This window comes from Homo sapiens, chromosome 8, assembly GCF_000001405.40.
Source record: "Homo sapiens chromosome 8, GRCh38.p14 Primary Assembly".
Lineage (NCBI taxonomy): Eukaryota > Metazoa > Chordata > Mammalia > Primates > Hominidae > Homo > Homo sapiens.
The window spans coordinates 101,840,694-101,862,774 of NC_000008.11; the positions used below are offsets into that span (position 1 = coordinate 101,840,694).

The 22,081-nt window shown below is 40.1% G+C and overlaps 1 protein-coding gene and 1 non-coding gene across 18 annotated transcripts in view, besides 2 other annotated features; both read right to left on the reverse strand.

Annotated features, from left to right (window-relative positions):
• NCALD (neurocalcin delta) overlaps nucleotides 1–22,081 on the reverse strand; it is a 438,366-nt gene that overhangs the window by 154,152 nt on the left and 262,133 nt on the right. For 2 of the 17 annotated variants that reach the window (XM_047422304.1, XM_047422316.1), the window contains one exon: nucleotides 11,879–11,977. The exons of the other annotated variants lie outside the window; for them this stretch is intronic. The gene's annotated coding sequence lies outside the window, so the exon portion shown is untranslated. The remainder of the gene's footprint in view (nucleotides 1–11,878; nucleotides 11,978–22,081) is intronic. 17 annotated transcript variants of the gene reach the window in all.
• Nucleotides 732–821: an enhancer, noted in NCBI's record as "active region_27736". NCBI's record gives its function as "activates an Ori minimal core promoter by ATAC-STARR-seq in GM12878 lymphoblastoid cells {active_cell/tissue: GM12878}" and the evidence as "EXISTENCE:reporter gene assay evidence [ECO:0000049][PMID:35858748]".
• Nucleotides 6,080–6,129: a silencer, noted in NCBI's record as "silent region_19433". NCBI's record gives its function as "represses an Ori minimal core promoter by ATAC-STARR-seq in GM12878 lymphoblastoid cells {active_cell/tissue: GM12878}" and the evidence as "EXISTENCE:reporter gene assay evidence [ECO:0000049][PMID:35858748]".
• LOC124902079 (small nucleolar RNA U13) lies at nucleotides 6,563–6,667 on the reverse strand. The gene has a single exon (XR_007061210.1). It is a non-coding gene; the product is annotated as a small nucleolar RNA U13 (small nucleolar RNA).

Consider the following 22,081-nt stretch of genomic DNA (forward strand, 5'->3'; position numbering starts at 1 on the left):
TAGCCACCTTTGTAGATATGTGTGCCTATCACTCACATACATAAACTGTATTCAAGTTTTGCAAAGAAGTTTAAAAAGTGCTGAGGTATTATTTGAAGCGCAAAGACATTTTATTACACCATTTATTACTTATGGCAAAACATCAAGATAAGTGAATATAAAAAATCATTGATTCGAATACTTGAAGAGCTACTGTTTGAAATTATTAAATTTAAAATTTACCAACCTACCAAAGCAAGATTATTAATATCTTTTAAATATTAAAAAGCTTTAATTTAACACGGTGACTAAGGCCTTATTAGATTCAGAGCTAGTGAAATCTAGTGAATAGAATGACAGGGTACCATAATTTCATATTTTTAGTCTTATTTATATGTCAGACTGCAGTCTTGGAGGATCTAAATAGGCATATTCAAATTTATTTCCAAATAATCACTTTTCATCTCTTTTCTAATTTTAGTCTGCACAAATCTTTCTAATTCACTGGGTCTCTGACAGACAGTTGTAGACTGAGGGCTGGTTGGCCAATGTAATGAGACCAGCTTCTGTCACTCAGGGATGCTGTGGCCTGAAGCCAGTGAGACTCACAGGGAGGCTGTGAGAACATCACGTACATGTGTTTTTCCATCCATGACAAACACCCCTTGCTGTCCTCCTAATAGCCACCCCTTCTTCCCTTCCTCTAACACAGGGTTCCTCAATCCAGGCATGAGTGACAATTGTGCCAGATACTTCTTTGTTGTAGGGGACTTTCCTGTGTGTCGTAGCTTATTTAGTAGCATCTCTGGCCCCTACCCATTAGGTGCCAATAGCAACTCCCCTCTTCCCCCAGGTTGTGACAATCAAAAACATCTCCAGATATTACCCAAATGTCCTTTGAGTTGGGGAAAGGCAGATGCAAAATTGCCTTAGGCTGATAACCATTGTTCTTACAGAACCCTGCTTATAGTCTTGTTGTCCCCAAAGTTCTGTAAGCGTCTATAAGCTGTAAGAAAGGCAGCTTCCATTCCAGCCAAAGAGGGTGAATCTTGACTGGTTTAGATTAATTATGGTGGTTCCATTCCCCTTCTCAGATGTTGGTTTACATATGAGCATGCAACATAATTCTGGCCAAGGAGACATAAGAAGTCTGCTGAGGGGCCCTAATGAAGGGATTCCTCACTCTAGGCTACCCCTTGGAGATATATATATATCCACACAAATAAAGAAAAAGAAAGAATACGGGGGAAATGAAAGGCAGGAGAAAGAAGTATATTTGCTCAGCAGGGCTCCCATAACAAAGTACCACACACTAAGTGGCTAAAGCAACAGAAATTTATTTTCTCACAGTTATGGAGGCTAGAAGTCCAAAATCAAGGTGTCAACAGGGTTGGTTTTATCTGAGGTCTCTTTCCCTTGGCTTGTAGATGTCTGTCTTCTTCCTGTGTCTTCACATGGTCTTCCCTCTCTACATCTCTATGTCCAAATTTCCTCTTCTTTTAAGGATACGAGTCATACTGGATTAGGGCCCACCCTAATGACCTCATTTTAACGTAATCACCTCTTTAAAGACAGTCACATGCTGAGGCTTTGGAGGTTAGGACTTCAACTTATGAATTTGCAAGGAGGACACAATTCACACATACCAAGGAGAGAAGGAAAATAAAAAAGGAAAAAAAAACAAGAAGAGGAAGAAAGGGAGAATGGGATGCATCAGTTGGGAGTGATTTCCTCTGCAAGTGATAGAAATTAACAGTTCATTAAAATAGAGCTTTGCTTTTATCACTAACAAGTCTGAATATGGGTGGTGTGCTAACAATGTTGGTTGAATTGGTCAAAAATGTCATTAAAAGCCAGTCTCTGTCACTCTGCCCCCTTTGGAATTATCCTTATGTTAGTTGCCTCATGGTCACAAGATGGCTATTGCAGCCTTAAGGCAGGAAGACAGGGAAGGGGGCTGTGCCAGTGATCTTCCTCTTACCTCTGTCCTCTTGTATAGAAGCAAAATCTTTCCCAAAAGGCCCCCAACCTATTTCCATTTATATCTCATTAGCCAAAACTAGGGCATGTGGCCAGCCCCAGCTGCCAGTGAATCTGGCAGAGCAAATATCTGGCTTTTCAGAACCTCTGGTAACAGGCAGCAGCAAGGGGTGGCTTGAGATAGCTGTTGGATGAGCCCATCAACCATGTGTATCCCAGGGAGGGAGAGAGAGAGAAAGGAGAGAAAAAAATAGGAGGTGGTTGGGGGGAAGATGAGAAGAGAAAAAGAAAGTTATCTGTATTCATTATGAAATACCATACATAAAAAAGCAGTTTTTGTACACAGCCATCCCCATGGTGTTCCCCTATCCTACTGATTAGCTATTACAATACCCAACAGCTTGCTTAAGGGTTTAGATGATTGCTCACCTTTTGGCATAAACATATAATATGTATTTAACGATTGCCTCTAGATAAGGAGTTATATGTGCACAATAAACCATATATCCCTAGCATGTAACACAGTACTTGGCACATAGTAGGTAAGTACTAAAAATCTGTTGAATAAATGAGTCAAACTAGTCCAGGTAATTGTAGGAAGAGTACACAATATCTACTCAAAAAGATATCATGAGGATTTGCTGTGGGAACTTCTCAAAAATGCAAATTCTCAGGCCTCACGCTAGACCTACTGAATCAGAACTAGACGGAGTCAATACTCTGTGGTTTAAACACCCTCCAGGGGATTTTGATGCAAGCTAAAGCTTCTGAGTATGTGCATGTACATGTGCATGCACACACACACACACACACAACTAAACTATCTCTGCCCTTCATAATTTTAGGGCCATGAATATTTTATTTACTGCAGCTTCTCTTCTTCTGTGCTACATTGATCATCTGATCTGTTCTATGAATCTTTAAAAATTGTTTTTTTTTTTTTTGAGACAGTCTTGCTCTGTCACACAGGCTGGAGTGCAGTGGCACAATCTCAGCTCACAGCAACTTCCACCTCCTGGGTTCAAGCCATTCCTGTGTCTCAGCCTCTGGAGCAGAATAGCTGGGATTACAGGCGTGTGCCACCATACCCAGCTAATTTTTGTATTTTCTGTAGAGATGGGCTTTCACCATGCTGGCCAGGCTGGTCTCGAACTCCTGGCCTCAAGTTATCTACCCGACTCAGCCTCCCAAAGTGCTGGGATTACAGGCGCGAGCCACCATGCCCGGCTGAGGATCTTTTTAAAAATTTTAAATGTTAAATTATGAAATATTAAAACATAAAATAAAGTACAGAGAAAAAATAAAACACCCACATGCATACTCCTCAGATTTAACAAATGTTAACATTTGCCATACTGGCTTGCCAGTCTTTTTAAAGTCGCTAGGCCCAGCACAGTTCTCTTCCACCCTTCCATCCTTCTCTGACAGCACGTCCCTATTCCTGAACATCCTGACCTTTTCCTGTGGCTTCCTAAAGCCCTGGGCCAAGAGAATTCAAGCACCTGTGGAAGTGCATATTCTCACTGGCATCCCACTAGGGTCCAAGTTACTAGTAATTTTCATTACCTGCAGCTTTAGTCCACTTTCCCTTGAGTTCCGATGATATATGCTGAGATGGCTTTATGTTCAGACACCAATGAAAGAGGTTGGGAATGAACTGAATTGTCAATATCATGTGCTTCTCATCTGAAATGCAACTCTAAATTCTTTTTTTTTTTTTTCTTAGAGATGAGGGTCTGGCTCTTTGATACAGGCTGGAGTGCAGTGGCACAATCAGCTCACCACAGCTTCAACCCCTGGGCTCTAGCAATCCTTCTGCCTCATTTTCCCCTGAGTAGCTGAGATTACACACACACACCATCATGCCCAACTAATTTTTTTTATTTTTCGTAGAGACAGGGTCTCGCTGCGTTGCCACAGCTGGTCTCAAACTGCTGGCCTCAAGTGATCCTCTCACCTCAGCCTCCCAACGTGCTGGGATTACAGGTGTGAGCCACTGCACCTGACCCTCTAAATTCTTTTGCCTTCTTAAGCTCAAGAGCAATGTTCTTTCAGATGAGACCCCTATAGAGAGAGGAAAAAGTGAAGCAAATTCAGCTAGTGGCCAGAGAGCGGTGAGTTCTTATTCTAGCAATATTGTGCAGGGTGCTTATTCTCTTTGCACCTTTTATTCCATCTAAAGAAGGAAAGAGAATACTACCCAATTCTTAAGTATAATTAGGTTTATGAAGTACTTCCACACATACTGTCCCATCTGATACTGCCATTTGATGTCAACTTGTACCCTTACAGATTGTCTGTGCTATTGCCCACTGTGTTCCCAGCATCCCAACTGTGCTAGTATACCATAGACCTCAATTAATGTTTGTTAAAGAAATGAAGGACAGAAGGATGCTTAAAGTGGCAGCTACAGAATCTCCATGAAGGGCAGAGGTGACTGTCTAGTTGGAAGGGAGCCAGGGGCAGTGCCACTCGAAGGAGTCAGTCTATGAACGATTTGTTTCTTGTTGTGCACTAATTTCTTTGAGAAAGTCTTAGTTTGAAAAAATGTCAGCTGAACTAAAGAGTGAGCCCAGTAATGTATTTGATTTACATTTGGATTTAAGTTCTTTATCTCATTGCAGACCAGTAACAAAGAGTTCTCAGGCTGGATCTGCCTGTGGACCATGCTTGGAGGAGCCCTGGGCCAGAGGAGCCAACTTAAAGCTGCATGTGCTCTGTGTGCACTTTTTATTATACTTAATTGTACTGAGTTCATTATGGGTTACTTGGGGGAGAAGCAGATGGATATTATGGGATGACTACAACCCTCTCCACACAAGCCATCCCTATTGGTCCCATTGAAGCTCAAGGATTATACATTTCAAATACTCTTTCTTTTTCATTGATTGTGATTGTAATTGTAACTGTACATATTTATGGGGTCCAGGTAATATTTTGATACAGGCATACAACGTGTCATGGTAAAAGCTGGGTAATTGGGATGTCCGTCACCTCCAACATTTATCATTTCTTTGTGTTGGAACATTCCAAATCTTCTCTTCTAGCTATTTTGAAATATACAGTAGATTATTGTTAACTACAGTCACCCTACTGTGCTATTGAACAATATAGAACTTATTCTTTCCATCTAACTGCATTTTGTACCCATTAACCACCCTCTCTATATTTACCCTCTTCTGCCCCACCACTCCCAGTCTCTGGTAACTATCAGCCATTCCACTCTCTACCTTCATAAGATGACCTTTTATTAACTCCCACATAGGAGGGAGTATCTGTGATATTTGTCTTTCTGTGCCTGGATTATTTCACTAAACATAATGTTCTGCATCCATGTTGCTGCAAATGACAGAATTTTATTCTTTCTATGGCTAAATAATATTCCATTGTGTATATATACATTTTCTTTATCCATTCATCTGCTGAAGAACACTTAAGTTGATTCCATATCTTGGCTACTGTGAACAGTGCAGCAACAAACATGGGAGTGCAGATACCTCTTCAACTTACTGATTTCCTTTCTTTTGGATCAGCAGTGGGATTGCTAGATCAGATGGTATTATATTTCTATTTTTAGTTTTTTGAGGACTCTCCATACTTTTTTCCGTAATGGGTATGCCTATTTATATTCCCACTAATTGTATACAAGAGTTCCCCTTTCTCCACAATCTTGCCAACATCTCAGATAATCTTTAATTGCAAGATCCTAGAGTAATACTTTTTGTTTGGCAACTAAAGCCCTTCAACTGAGAAGAATGGAAGATAGTTTTGAGAGGAAGGAGCCTCTGGCATTTGTTGGCATGTTAAAGTTGGTTGGCCTGGTTCTACTTCCATGCCAGTTTTTCTTCAAGCTCCCCCTACACCCAGCAACATCAGGAACCTGGATCATTCTAGCTCTATTTGGGTGAACTTAAATTGCTTTGTAAAGATTATCTAGTGCCTATCTTGGCCACCAACACATCCCAGACCACTCTGGTGATGTCGAGACAAGCAGAGCATGAGAGTCTAGAACTTTCTGCATGATCATTCTAGGCCAGTGGTCCTCAGACTCTAGCAGCATTAAAATCCTCCTGTAGGGCATTTAAAATACAGATCACTGACTCCACCTACTTCTGACTCAAACTGTCTGGGCTGAGGCTGAAGAATTTGCATTTCTAACAAGTTCTCAGCTGATGCAGCTGGTCTGGGACCACATTTTGAGAACCACTCTTCCAGGTACTCAACACAGGCGATCATGGTGGGAGTGGACATTTCCCATTCCAGCCACAAGGAGTATTTTTGCATACTTATTCCAGTAGAGACTGCAGGTTGTCACCAAATATCTACTATCTCTTTCTTCTTTACCAACAGAACACCAATTTTATTAACAATATATCCAGCCTTAAAAACACTACATTTTCCAGACTTCTTTCAGCTAGAAGGGTCCCTGTGACACAGTTTTTATGAATAAAATGTAAGTACATGTCACCAAGTGGGACTTCTAGAAAGTCCGTTAAAGAAGCTTGCTTGACTATTGCTTTGCTGCTGTCTTTCACCAACAAATTTTCCACCACAAATGGCTCAATTCCTTTCCCTTCTTCTTCTTTTTTTTTTCCCCAAGTCAGGTCAGACAGGTAATGTGCCAATGTCGTAACAAGGTTCAGAGGGTGGCACATCTCACACACGCACATGAACACCCAATTATCACGCTCATGAGCTACAACAGGATCGCCCTTCCCTTCTTCTTTAGTGGGATATGGACATGATGCCTTCTAGAAGGGGTTCTTCCATCTTGAGACAACAGTTGACAAGCAAGTGCCAAGGACGCTTGAGAGGACAGAGGTGCCTGGGTCCCTTGTGGCATCATGGCTGTCATGTCAGCTCCAGACTCCCCATCTCTAGACCTCTGATTATATGAGAAAGGGAAAGCCCCTCATTTATTTATTTAAGCTATTGTTTGGGGGTCCATGTTATTTTTAGCCAATGAAATTCTTAACTAAGACACCTACCATGTTAAAAACCAGTGCTAGATGTGAAAATGGAAAATATATGTTTCCTACCCTCAAAGAGCTTTGGTGCAGCTTTGAAGACAGGAAAGAGACACAGCTCCTGGGTGAACATGGGACCCAAGGAGACTTAAGGTTTATGGCAGCCAGAACACCTCCCAGGTGTCCTGAGGAGCTGTTTTGAAAATATTCAGATCAGGGAAGAGAGTGTGGAGTTGAGGTATGAGGCTGAACTTAGGGATCTTAGATAAGACAGTTTAACTTCAGGCATTTACGCTCGTAAAAAACAGTGGCCCTTGAAAAGAAGATGCTGGGAAGCGTTCAGGTCTGTAGTAGGGATGGGGAATGGTACAAAAGGGAAAAGAGAAGGAACAAACCTTACAAAAGTTGATATAAAGAGACTTTGGGGGTTGAATGAGGAACACTGAATGAGACAAGCATGTGGTTTTGGTCGGGGAGAACAGTGGCTTGAAAACATTTTCAAGCCATGGAGCCCCTATCTCAGGAAAGCATCATAAGAAAAATAGCTAAAAATTGAGGTATTCTGGTTCAATAAGTTGTAGAGAGCTCAGAGGCTTAGCTAACAACCTTCCTTTTCCTATGGCACCTCAGGGTCTCCACGGAGCAGCAGGGAGTTACAGGGACCAATTTATGGGGAGAATAGGAAGGGAAAGGTGGAAAGTGAAGTGGCTTGGATACTATAAAATAATTTTAGAATGAGGAAACAAGAGAAAACTTGAAAAAAGTTTTGTCTGGAGATTTAGGAGATCTAAGTTCTAGGTGAGCTATTAACTCTCAAACAGATACAGCAAGAAGCTGTTGGACCCCTCAGAAGATCCATATCCAAGATGCTTTCCAGACCTAAAAGTGTTTGATACTAATTTTAGGGAAATTATATTTACAAAAGAAGAGGTCATGATTCCCATAATCTATGGGTTTTATATGGAGAGTCACATTGAAATGGTCCTAAGATTTTTAATGTTTGATTGCTTTCGGCTCTTGAAAGTTAAAGTTTCTCTAACTCAGTGCCTTCTCTGTTTTCCATTTAAAGGATAAGATTTACAATATTAACTTCAATTTTTTGCATGTATCTAGTAATAACAGAGAAAAGTGAAAGGTAAAATTCAGCCTGGAATATGTTGTTCTACAACATTGCTTCTAAGAATTTTAAGACAAATGAATAGAATTTGGTATCTGTTTGACCCAGCAATCCCATTACTGGGTATATACCCAAAGGAATATAAATAATTCTGTTATAAAGATACATGCACACGTATGTTCATTGCAGCACTATTCACAATAGCAAAGACATGGAATCAACCCAAATGCCCATCAATGACAGACTAAAGAAAATGTGGTACATATACACCATGGAATACTATGCAGCCATAAAAAGGAATGAGATTATGTCCTTTGTAGGAACATGCATGGAGTTGGAAGTCGTTTTCCTTAGCAAACGAATGCAGGAACAGAAAACCAAACACTGCATGTTCTACTTATAAGTGGGAGCTGAATGATGAGAACACATGGACACATTGTGGGGGGACCAACACACACTGGGGCCTGTGAGGGATGGGGAGGGAGAGCATCAGGAAGAACACCTAAAGGATGCTGGGCTTAATACATAGGTGATGGGATGATCTGTGCAGCAAACCACCATGGCACATGTTTAGCTATGTAACAAACCTGCACATCCTGCACATGTACCCCTGAACTTAAAATAAAAGTTGAAGAAAAAAATAGAATTTGGTATCTGATTTAAAAAGCACTAGGAATTTGTGACTACCTTGGTTATTTATAAGATAAAAATTACATGTTGATTCATAGCATAAATACGGAGCTATGAATTTGTAAAGTGGTCTGTAATCAATTTTTTTCCATTATTCCTAATGTCACTCTGTAAATGGTCTTCATTTCCCTGCCCATTTTTCCGATAGGAAACCAGAAAGACACAAAAGTAAAATTCAGTTAACACAGCCAGATGATGGTAGTAACTTGCCTGGCTGTATTAGCATAGGAACGGAAGTCTCCTGCATTCTAATCTTTCTAAAATTAGCCAACTGTGATGGAAAGAATCATTCATTCCATAAATCTGCCCTGAACAGAATTACGAGCAAGCAGAGACAAGCTAGCGCTAACTTCTTTTATCTTTGCTGCCATGACTGGCATTGAATTTGAAAGGAAGAGCTACAACAAAGGCAGGGGCTCTGAGCAAGGGAAGACAATGAATTCACACTGAAGACGGGGGCCCTTCCCTGTGTTTCCCCAGCCATTCACAGAATTCAGGAAGTTCTTCTACATTCAATAAAACCAATTTAAGAGGTGTTCCCCCACTCCCCAGACTGACTATTCATTCAAGGTACTTTCCACATCTGATTAGCCATTCCCTTGTCACATCTGAAGAGGGCTCTGGACTGAGCATGTACCTAAGTCTAGCTCTGCCGGGTGTTATCCAGAAAGATCAGTCACTGTGCTTTGGAGTCCATGTCACTGAAGAGGCCTCTGAAAGAGCCAAAGGAGTGTCACAGGCCCGGGCATCAGTCCCTACCCTGCAAAGGAAAATTCTCGCTTGATCTGGGATTGCCTCTCTCAGCTCTCTAATATCCTGAAGCACTCCTTAGATGAAGCAGAACCCAGATGACTCTTGTGTCAAGGCAATTCCAAGACACCATCTCCTGCTCGCCTGCTGTATAAACGAACCTAACATAGAACAAACTGCTTCTTAACAGGTTTTATTTTCTGTAAGTAAATGATGAGAGAAAAAGAGAACAAGTATGTGCAGAGCCTGTGAGGGAAAAAGATCGCTACACACTTATTTTAAAGAAGAACTTGTGTTAGGTTAATGTTTTCCTTGAATGCAAGTCTACCCAGGAAAGAAAAGGATCTGCAAATCTATAGGCTGTTGCGGGCTCTTGGATGTTTTCACAAAATAAAACAAAAACAATGATAAAACCCCACAAAAGTTACTATATCTTGAGCCATAATAAGGTAGAAGATATAGAACATTTTTAAATACTTGGAACAACTTTTACTGTGTTGTATGTTTACTTTCTCATGACGTATCCTTACACTTTCAATTACAGTATATATGAAGCAGAGGGTAGAAGATATGCTCTTCTGATTTTTTTTAAGTTAGGTCTTTGGGAGGAAGATAAATCTATAAATATAAAATGTAGCACCTTTAATGAAAGCAGCAGTAACAATAATCAGTCCAGTTCCAAGGTTAGAAAGTCATTTAATGAGAAGACCCAGATTGACAGTTGTCCAGTTGGATCCAGCAGGGTGTTAATAGGGTTTACTCAAGAAAGCAAAAGTTTCATGGCCAAATGCATTTGAGAAAATATTGGACTAAATGTTCTGTGTTTTTTGTTTTGGTTTTTGTTTTACTTCAAGGCAACTGAAAGCCTTATCAATGTTTCAACATGTTTAGTAAATCTTAAAGAAGAGATGAAATATAAAGCATTTCCTAAATTTATTTGATCACAAAAACCTGTTATCCCTGGAGAATCTTACGAGATTAGTGTTCTTTAGCTTACATTTTGGGAAATGCTGAACTAGATTATAAGACAAATCTATAAATTTCTGTAAGGAAGAAAGGGAGTGAGGGAGAAAAGAAGTGAAGAAATAACAAAATGCAAAATCTTAGCTCAACTGAAGTTGCAAGCATCTTATGAATTCATTGTTCATACAATATTTCTAGATGTAAAGAGAGAGGGAAGTGTATGGCATTCTCATTAAACTAAAAAAAAAAATACAAATAGTAAGTGTGATAAAAGCATTTAGCATTGTCACCCACAGCTCTCTTGCCTACCCTAGCTCTCTTGCCTACCCTAGCTCTCTTGCCTATCATATTTACTTTTGAAACTAAAAACTAAATATAAATAAATATACTGAAAATTAAAATAAATGATGGCAACACAATGTTAAGGTTATGAATAATCAAACTCTGTCTTGGATTTGCCCCCTGAGAACTGACTGGACCCCAGCTACTCCATACCTGCCTTTGCACACAGGCAGACTGCAAACACCCATTAGTATTCTTAGCAGCCACTCGAGACCTCCTGGATCCTTTGGGTTAGCATTGATCACACCAGGCATGCTAAGTACTTAGAGTACACTATCTCATTTAATCTTTACAACAGCTCCATGAAGCTGGGGTATTGATTTTATTGTACGGTACTATGGTCTCAATATGTCCTTCCAAAATTTATGTTAAACTCTAATTTCCATTATAGTGATATTAAGAGGTGGGGCTTTTCGAGAGGTGATTAAGTCATGAGGGCTCTGCCTTCATGAATGGGATTATTGCCCTTATAAAACTGGATGAAGGGTACATTCTTGCCCCTTCTACCATATGAGGACAATTCACCCCTTCCACCATGTGAGGATGCAGTGAGAATGAAGAACAGGCCTTCACCTCACTGAATCTTCTGGCATCTTGAACTGAACTTCCCAGCCTCCATAACCATGAGCAATAATTTTCTATTATCTGTAAATTACCCAGTCTAAGGGATTTTGTTACGGCAGCCTGAATGGACTGAGACACTTGGATAAGGAAGTGTGAATTCAGCAGACAGGCAGTAACTTTTCTCGAGGGAGTGATATTTGCCAGCCTGGAGCTCCTCCTCTGATACACTGTACTATGTTCTTTTCACTTCCTTATTCTCCTAACACCTTTTATGTCCACCTCTGAACTTCTGGCCTCTGTGAAGCCCTTGGTCCCTCAGACCTCAGGCTGGTCTTGGCCTTTCAACTTTGCCTTTCACTATTAGATGCAGGTGTGTCTGTCCTGCAACCCAGCTCTGGCTCTGGAAAACCAGCTGACATCAACCATGTGGCTGGAACCTTCTCCAGAACAATGGAGGCCAGGGCGAGTGACTCACTGCCATTCAGTCTCCATCTTTGGGGCAGATCCACCATGAGACATAACTTACCAGAAATCCAGTTACAAGGAGGAATAAGTATTGAAGACTAAGAAATGCATTTTGCAGCAGGTCCTCGCTGTACTGGGGCAGCGTCCATTCATAGAGCAGCTAGAATAGAGGTCACAAGCTCAGAAGCTTCTCTAAGGCAGGCAGGAAATTTAAGTCGATACTATGATCTGCATTGGTGGGGACTGTGGAAATTGGAGAGCGAGTGCCTAGTCTAAACAGCTGCTTGTTGCTCAGCTGTTGTTGCCGTATTGGGAATTCAAGCCTAATGATGTTTGGTATTCCCATTTTCAAAAGAAGTCAGGAAATGCAGATTTCTATGTAAATTTTTAAAACTTCTGAACTGTGTATGAGCCATACAAAATACATTTGCAGGCCAGTCGACATCCTCTGATCCAGAATATCAATTTGTGAGACAAGTTGTTGGTGAGGCAGCATTACATAGTAGTTAAAAGCATACATTTTAGAGCCAGACTGCCCATGTCCAAACCCTGGTCCCATCACTCACTACCTTTCATTTCACTTCTCTTTGCTTCACTTTCCTCATCAGTAAAATAAAAATAATATCAGTACCTACCTCATAGGGTTTCATGAGCATTAAATAAATTAAAACCCATAAAGTACTTTCAATGCTATCAGGCATTTAGTTACATGGTAAATAAGTGTTTAAAACATTTAAAACAAAAGTTCAAAGATAATAAACAAGGAAACAGAAAACCTGACAGGCCAGCTTTGGAACCTTCTTGATGGCAGATCTATCAACATTTCTCCCTTTGGCTGGGATGAAAAGGCATTTGGGAATAAAAGATCCCATAAAAATAAATGAGAAGAAGTGAAACACCTTCATTATGGCAATTTTGGTGTCAGAGCCTAAAAGACAGAGGGATCAAAATATTGCAGTACTAAAATCTGATGGTTTCATGTAGAAATGAGATTTAAGCTTATTAAAATGTATTTCTTTCTGGTGTTAATAACCCTTCACAAGACCTGGGCAATTTTGAAAGAAGGAAAGAAAATGGTTCTCCCTGTGGACAAGAAGAAACAAATGACTATTAAATTTTCTAATTTGGAGTGAACTAAGTTGATCCCTAGGTTTTTGTGGGGAGGCCGGGGTGGGGGAGTCCAGTGGAAAGCAATTGCTGGAGAGTAGTCCTTGTTCTTTGCTGACAGAACAGGAGCAGAGTGTGGAATGAAAACTCAATAGCCTCCTCTATTCTCAAGAGACAATTGACTTCCATCTGTTTAAACCTCCCCAGGGGACCCTGCTCCCCCCATTTCCATTTACTCTCCTTTCCACCAACCTAGGGTGACATTAAGAAAACCAAACCCATTTGAAACACAAGCTCTTACACATCAAAAGTCAGGGGAGAAGTCTGGTTGACCTGTAAGCCACTGCATGAGGCACAAAGATGCAAAAAGGAACTTTCAGGAACAACTGCTGCTCCGAGGACTCTATGTCAGATATAACATCCGCTTTGGCCCAAAAGTAGGCTTGAGCCCCAGAAGAGGAGGAATGTAAAGTATGTTTAAAATGTGAAACCTTTAGTTCTACTTGCTCTTTACTCAGAAAGGAGAGAGTATTCCCTTATGCCAACGAGGTCTCTCTGAGTTGTTTGCACTATTGGTAGCAGGTGCTGCCTGGGGTAGCTCTTATGGTCTGTGCTTGAAGTGTGCACCAGCTGCTGCCCTGGACATGACTGTTGGTCCCTGCATACAAGCAGCCACCTTTAAACAGATCAAATGACTCTTATGATGACAGCTGTCTCACTCTACTTTCAAACTGGTTTTAATTTGGTTACTTGCAACCTAAGACAGCAAACAGCATTTTAGGGATGAATTGCGTTCCTGAAGTGCATGGGTCAGAAAGCTCCTACATTCACTTTCTACTGTCCCTGCACTTTTTCTCTCCTACTTGCTGCCTTTCCACTTCCCCTCATTTCCTGCATTCTAATACTCTATTGTCAAATTTTCCTGGTCTTGACAGCAAATCTTTTCTTTTTCTTGATGCTTTATTCCTTCTAGCATAAGACCAGAAATTGATCAATAGTTTATTTAAGTTCCAAACTGTATTTTGCTGCTGAATAAACATATAGCTTTCCTAGACTCCCATGGAAAAAAATGGGACTTATGCTGAAATTCAGGGCTAACACACCGATTATCCTAAAGTATAACAACATATTTTGATATAACATCATATAGCTTTAAAAAATTTTCATAAAGTAACAGAGTAAGATTGGGCATCTGAATCACATGTTTAGGAATTTGCAACATTCATTCATCTTACACAATAAACCTCAATGAGTACCTACAAGTAGCATGCACTATTAGGTACTAGGGATACTGAGATCAATAATGCCATTGTGTTGGTCCAACTGGGGAAGACTGGCATGCCCACACAAATATAGCAGCAAGGGCAGGGTTGGGTTAGAAGTGAGCACAGTGCTTGGACACATGGGTCAGAGTCTCCTGATGAGGTTGCTGGGGAGGAAGAGGAGCGGAGGGAGGAAGAAGAGGAGTCAGAGAAGACACGTGGAAACAAGCATGAAGAATGAGCAAGTGTCAGGCAGTCAGATGGGACCAGTATCCCTAACAGGAAGAAGAGTAGTTGCAAGTAATGGAGAGGGAGTACACCCTCTTCTCTTCTAGACACTTAGGAGGATAATACCCCATCCCCTTGCTATTGGATAGGACTATATGACTAGCACTAGCCAATGAGTTGTGAGCAGAAGTGATATTTGTCACTTCTAGGCCAGAGCACTAGATTGCTCATGTGAGATCCCTCAGTCTTACCTTCTCCTGGAAGTGAATCATCATAAGATGAGAGGCAGCCTAGAATGTTGAGTGCACATCTAAATGAGCAACTCCAGAGAGCCATTTGTACCCATAGAGGATTTCATGTGAGTGAGAAATAAACTTTAGTTTCAATAAGCCACTGAGATTTGGGGGGCTGTTTGTTAGAGCAGCATAATATAGTCAATCCTGATAGAAATGGCTACATTTAAAGACATGGATATACTCAAGAAATTGAATCTCAAGTTTAGAGGGGATGATAATAAGAATTTGCAATGATCATCACACATCTTGACAGAGATGCATCAGGGCCTCAGATGGAAGGTAGAGTACAAGTGCATAGGTGGAAAATGACATTATGGGTGAAGAGAAAGCATGAAACATAAGACATAAATCAGAGGGAACAGGGATGATCCCCAGAACCAACAATGAGAAGCCAGAAAGACAGAAATAAAAAACAGTGGTGTCTTAGAAGCTCAATCTCTTAACATAGCAATTGTATTGTTGATGTCATGTTATTTGCTTCTAATTATAAGGTCTTAGTAATCATTTTCCCTTCCTTTATTTGAAGTCCAGAGACGATCAAATATAGATATCCTCATGAACACTCATACATCTTGCTGTGACACCCTCAGGGTTTAATCTCAGGCTGTTGGTGGGTTTCAGACTCACCTCTGCAGGACACCAGGGGTTCCCTGGAGGCAGCTTTGGAAGAGGAAAAGATGAAGAATGGGATCTAAGCCCCAACCCTGGATCAACTACAGCAGCTCTGATCTTACCTGTCTCTTGTTTCGTTTGTTTATTTTTGTTTGGTTTGGTTTGGTCCTTTTTAAGACAGGGTCTTGCTCTGTCACCCAGGCTGGAGTGCAATGGTGTAATCTTGACTCACTGCAACCTCCACCTCCCAGGCTCACGTAAATTCTCCCACTTCAGCCCCCAGAGTGACTTGGACCACAGGCGCACGCCACCATGCCTGGCTAACTTTTATATTTTTCTTTGAGATGAGGTTTCTCTATGTTGCCCAGGCTGGCCTTGAACTCTTGGCCTCAAGCCATCTGCCGACCTTGGCTTCTCAAAGTGCAAAGACTCCTTTACTGTCATTTTTCACATGTCCGAGCCACCACGCCCAGCCTGATCTTACATGTTTCTACATGGCCTTACGTGTAAGATTTTATTTGAAGAAATGGTGCTGCTATTAAGAAAAAAAAAGAAAACTGCTAGTCTAAGTGAACTAAAATATCAGAGCTTATTTATATGAATATGAAAACTTATGGTATACTTAATGAGCCAATAAAATATCCTCTATGGTAGAAAATCCTCCTCCTTAGCAAGGTATAAAGCAGCCCCTGGAAACCAGGCTCATCCTACTTACCCAGCCCCATAGCTTGCTGCTCTCCACAAAGCCAGATCCAGTCCTCAAACACATCATAGCCATTCACAGTGCCACGTCATGACACACACACAGGTTGCTTATGATGTCCTGACTCCTTCTGCTCCTGGCAAATTGCTGCCTCTCCATTAGGAGCCATTCAGATGCCCACCTCTGATACAGCCTTATCTACTTTGACTCTCTTCCCCACTCCTCAGGTAAACTAATTCCTTCCAGTGTAAATACACTCACAGCACTTCACTAATACCTCTAGTGTATTATATATGTGACTCTCTTCCCCACCGTGCTGTGAGCTCCTTTACCTCTAATCCCAAGTGTCCACTAAGTAAATAAATGAAGATAATTCCAGAATTGCTTATGAACCAAGCATTGCTACCATAAGGTTGTATAATAGAAACATAGTGAACAAATAATAGGATGTTAAGATTTGCTTCAGATTTTAACTTTCACTGAGCATATAACACTGTCCATCTTCCTCCTCCAACTCTGTCTCCTTTTAGATTCACAGTTCTTCTGACTGAGATAGTTTCAATAAGACCTATTTGGGAGCACAATTTCTCAGTTTCTCTTTGGCATGAATTTCCAGCATGGCTCCTATCCCAAACACAGTCTAATACTGACACAGCCAAAAAGGCACAGATGTGCATATCTACTCACTCAAAGGCATTCTGACTTCTCTCTCCCACAGAACTCTGACTTTTCACTGAGTTTAGTCTTCAAGCATAAAGCCCAAAGAAATAATATAATAGGGACTTCAGACTTCTTTGCTAATACCATTGATCCTGCTAGCACACCTCCAGACAGCACCTTTGATTTGCTCTGCTATTTCCAGAGGAAAAGAAGGCAGAGATTTGCATGCAGAAGAGGACAGGAAGTCAAAGTCTGGTGATTGTTGAAGCAGGGGGAGATGTCAAGTCAATGGAAGTAAAAGAAGGAGAACAAGATAGAGTTCTTTCTTCTTTCAGCATCAATGATTAATTCCGCTTTGGAGAGTTTTGGGGGAAATTATAAGTTAATTAAATTAAAGCAATGAATAAGGTGGCCAACCTGTTTTGGTTTGCCCAAGACTTTCTTGGATTTAGCACTGAATATTCCACATCCCAGAAAACTGTTAGCTCCAGGCAAACCAGTTCACCATAGCAATGAGATATAAAATATTTCCTGACAAATTAGCAAAGATACAAATATATACTTATAATACCTAGTGTTAGCAAGGATGCAGAGTAATGAGCACTGACATTGTCAATGGGATAGATATTGATTCAGTCTTTTTGGAGAGCAATTTGATTAAAACAACAAAACCCTTACCACCATATATACAAACTTCATGTTAAAAATGGCAAATTAAATAAACTCATTGGTATTGTTTTCCAGCCACAACTCTAATAAAATGACAGTAAAGGAATGTAAAAATTTACACACATAAAAGAGGATGAAGAAGAGATAACATGAGAAGAGAGATATCAACAAAATTTCAGAAAATGGAAAGCAGTTTCACACGTCATTGGATCTATAGAGTGGAGCAAAACTGAAATTAACCATCTGCAGCGATTGAAGTCAATGATTTGGCCTTCAAAAGCCAGAAAAAGCTCAGGAACTAGAGGCACCAGATACCTCTGAAAATAAAGGTGAGAGGTGGAACTGAAAACAAGAAGGGTGATAAAAAGGTAGTTAGAAAGCATTTTTGTTCCAACACACTCTTCTCTACCCCACAGCTAGGCAACTTCCTCCCCTATCCCAGCCTGATACTGGAGGTTTACTCACAAAAGACTGAACCGGAGATGTTCTGAACGAAAGGCACAGCAGGGAGTGGGAGTAAGACCAGAGGCTGAAAATGGGATTCACAGTTCCCATCCTGTACTCAGCATCTAGAATGTCAGCAGCCTGGCAAAATACTGGAGGATTTCTCTTGGAAGAAATAGAATAGCCCTAGGGAAAAGTCTACAGTACAGATATTTATGGGTTCCTCAACAAAATGAACAAGTGTCTGGATGATAGCCCCACGGAGAATCCCAAGGAGCTCCATTCCTGCACACACAGCTTCCAGCGAGCTTGTTAGTATAGTGCACTTAATTATGAATGGAAAACAGAATGACCAGATACTTGAGAACAATCTCCAAAGAAAAACATGCAACAAAACAAGAGGAGAAATGAACTTGGAAGAAACAAAAAATGTCAGAGGCAGAAAAAAATTCAACAATTGTGATGGTTAATATTGAGTGTCAACTTGATTGGATTGAAGGATGCAAAGTATCATTTCTGGGTATGGCTGTGAGGATGTTGCCAAAGGAGATTAACATTTGAGTTAGTGGACTGGGAGAGGCAGACCCACCCTCAATCTGGGTGGGCACCATCTAATCAGCTGCCAGCATGGCTAGAATAAAGCAGGCAGAAGTTGGAAGGACTGGGCTTGCTGAGTCTTCTGGCCTCCATCTTTCTCCCGTGCCAGATGCTTCCTGCCCTCGAACATCAGACTTCAAGTTGTTCAGCTTTCCGACTCTTAGACTTACACCAGTGATTTGCCAGGGCCTCTTGGGCCTTCAGCCACAGACTGACGGTTGCACTGCCAGCTTCCCTACTTTTAAGGTTTTGGGATTTGGACTGGTTTCGTTGCTCCTCGGCTTGCAGACTGCCTATTGTGGGACTTCACTTTGTGATCATGTGAGTCAATTCTCCTAATAAACTCCTCTTCACATATACATATATCCTTTTAGTTCTGTCCCTCTAGAGAACCCTGACTAATACAATGATCATTAATAGCCTCAGAAAGGCATAAGATACTATATCCATGACCAAGAATAGGAGGCTAGATAAAGACCCCTTAGCAAATTAACAAAGAGATTCTAGAAGCTAAACGTATGATAGCAGAGATTTTTTAAGTTTAATAAAGAATTTTGGAGACACAATTTAAGAAATTTTCCTACACATAGTATAAAAAGAAAGAAAAGAAGTGTGAGGAAGAAGAATAGAGAGAAAGGATAAGAAGAGTAGTGCATTAAACCAAGATGTCCTTGTTCTATTATGAACAATAGAAATTCTGGAAGAGAAACTATCAGCCTGTTCCCAAAACAGTAACATAAGAACATTTCCCAAAACAAAGGGTATGAGTTTCCAGACTGAATGTGCCCGTTTGCCCAAAGGCCTGGCACAATAAATTTTTTAAAGACCCCAATAGGGCATATCATTGTGAAATTTTTAGGATGTCAGAGATAAAGAGTAGATTCAAAAGTTTCTAGAGATACATGATAGGTTATTATTTTTTAAAGGCTTAGAAATCAGAATTGCATTTTTGAAACTTTTCAAAAGCAGCATTGTACTTAAGAAGACCATGGAACATTGTCTTCAAAATGTTAAGAGGAAATGATTTCCAGTGAAGAATTATATTCAAAGCTAATATTGAAATCAAGAACTGGACCATGACAAATATCTTTTCATACATGCAAGTATTAAAACTTACCTCCAATACATGCTTTCTTAAGCTGCTGCCTCAGGAAACTACCGGAGGTTAGGTTCTATAAAAACAAGGATTAAAACTTGGAAAGACAAGGACATGAAGGCCATGGAGGACATCCAACACAAGAAATAGGGGAATCCTCCCAAGATGATGATGAAGTGGATTCTCAGAACAAAAGTATGTAGTAGGTTTAGAGAATAATCACTCCTGATTGACACAGGAGAGCAGAGAGTTCCATAAAGACAGCTCCAAGAAACACATGAACAAGAAACCACTAGAGCACCAGAAATGTTGACCCTTACTGAGAAAATTGTTCTGCTCTCCTGGAGCTGTAGCCATTGGCAATTAAGTCCAGGAGAATAAAAAAGTTGTACAAGAAAGGAAATGTAATCATCACAAGTATCCATGTGGCTCATATGTTAGCTATAATGAGTCAACCATAATAACATAAACAGTGAAAATTGTTTTAACCCATAATTGTGATAGTATTATATTGGGAAGATGGGAGTAAGAGAAGGTGTGCACTGGAGAATTGAGGGAGAGCTGCGGAATGGGGGAATGAGAGGAGCTAAATCATCATCTTACACTATAAGGAGATTGTGTCAAAATTGAAAAATCGAGAAACAGCAGTATATGCAGACTGTTTAGAAATATGGAGGCAGTGGTGAGCTGTAATTGCCTGTACCGACCCCTGAAAGCTGAATGTTAAATTTTTAGAAATTTTGTAAGCTGGTTGTAAAATACAGTCAATATTTAGAATGAAATTATATAAGCTTATGGTTAAATAAATTATATCTAAAAGCCAAGGTAATATATTTAAAAACTCATCACTCCTCTAGAATTGGAAAAGCAAGGAAAGGATGCTCCCCTAGAGTCCCCAGAGGGAACCAGCCCTGCCTACATATTGATTTCAGCTCAGTGCGTCTGTTTAGACTTCTGACGCCCAGAATGGTAAGATAGTAAATCTGTGTTACTTTAAGTCATTAAGTTTGTAGTAATTTATTACACTAGCAAAAGAAAACTAATATGGGCAACTTTGTTCCTCTTGATTTGGGTTGTCGGTGGAGCTGAAGGGGAGGAAACTGAGAGATACCTGGACCACGGGAAGTTGACTGTGGAGCTCACTAAATTCTTGCCACCCTCCGAGTCAGTGGCGTTTCTCAGCTTATATTGGGAGAGACCGCTGTGGCTCTAGCTATCAGACCACACTATATACAGAACTGCTAAAAACATGGGTGGAACACACAGGTAGGAGGAGCAGAGGGAACAAAGACCTCATGAGAAACCTGGAAGACATAGTTTGAGCAAACCAAAATAAATATTTTAAGACCATATATGTGATATTAAAAAAAAAACCAAAAACAAAACAGCTCACCAAAGTATACAAGTGCCCTACCTCAAGAAAAGTAAACATGAAAATTACAATCTAAAAGAACAAATATATCCAATGGTAATGAATCATTAGACAGCTCTGTGTTGAGCACCTGCTATAAAAGATAACCTTAGGTTTCTATTGTGTTCTCTCACATGTTATTGCATTTCTCATATGTATGATTCCATTTGAGACCCTATGCATTTGTAAGATAGGAAGGCAGATGAGAAAATTAATGTTCACCAAAAGTAGGTGCCTTGTTGACATAAGTTAGCTGTTAAGGCTGCGTGTGTTCCTGGGTCTCGACTTCATGTCCAGGTACTGTTTATTTTTTCACTGTACAGTGCTGCAGTAAATAGAAGATACATTTCCTTGCCCTCAGGGAATTTGCAATCATTTATATTACAATTATATAACTGTCATTTAAAATAATCATAATAATTCCACAAATCTGCAAAAGGATTCATCACCAGGCTGCCCTTAAGTAGTAAACAAGACTGTTGCATTCCATGATACCACCAAGTATTCATGTACATGTTTTGAACTGTCATGTCTGACAAAGAATTAGAAGTTACTGTGACTTAAAATCAATCCAAAACAAAGGATTGACTTTCACAGACATTACAATATGTTAATAAAGAAATGAATAAAATTATAAAAATTTGTTTTAGTTGCAATTTTTCAGGAACACAGTTCCTATGTAAAGTAAATCTACACAATAATTAATAAACTACTTACGGCAATTGTGATATTTTCTAGGACTTACAGGATTTCCCTCAACCAAGTTTGAGGCCACAGGCACAACATTTTTTTTAGGAGCTGGTTCCAAATGAATGGTGTTTTAATTACGATCCATGAAGCCTCCTTAGTCTTAATCTTTCAAAGTCTTGGACAAAAGTTAGAAAATGTTTAGCATGTGCTTCACTTTGCTATGCTTTTTTCTAATAGCAAACTCTTCAAATTACAAGCAAATAGTAGCTAGTGATTAATATCTAATAGCATAATAAAGGAGGCACTCAATTTTAACTAAAATTTTCAAAAATGACAAATATCCAAGTACAGCTGTGTACATTTCTCACTGACTTTTATTGCTGCCATTTATCATTTAATCTCATGCTAGTTTTCTCTAACAGGGACAAATAGAAAATCCCTCCTTCATTTGGGGAAGAGTCAATGTTAGGTCACATGCCCTGTCCTCAG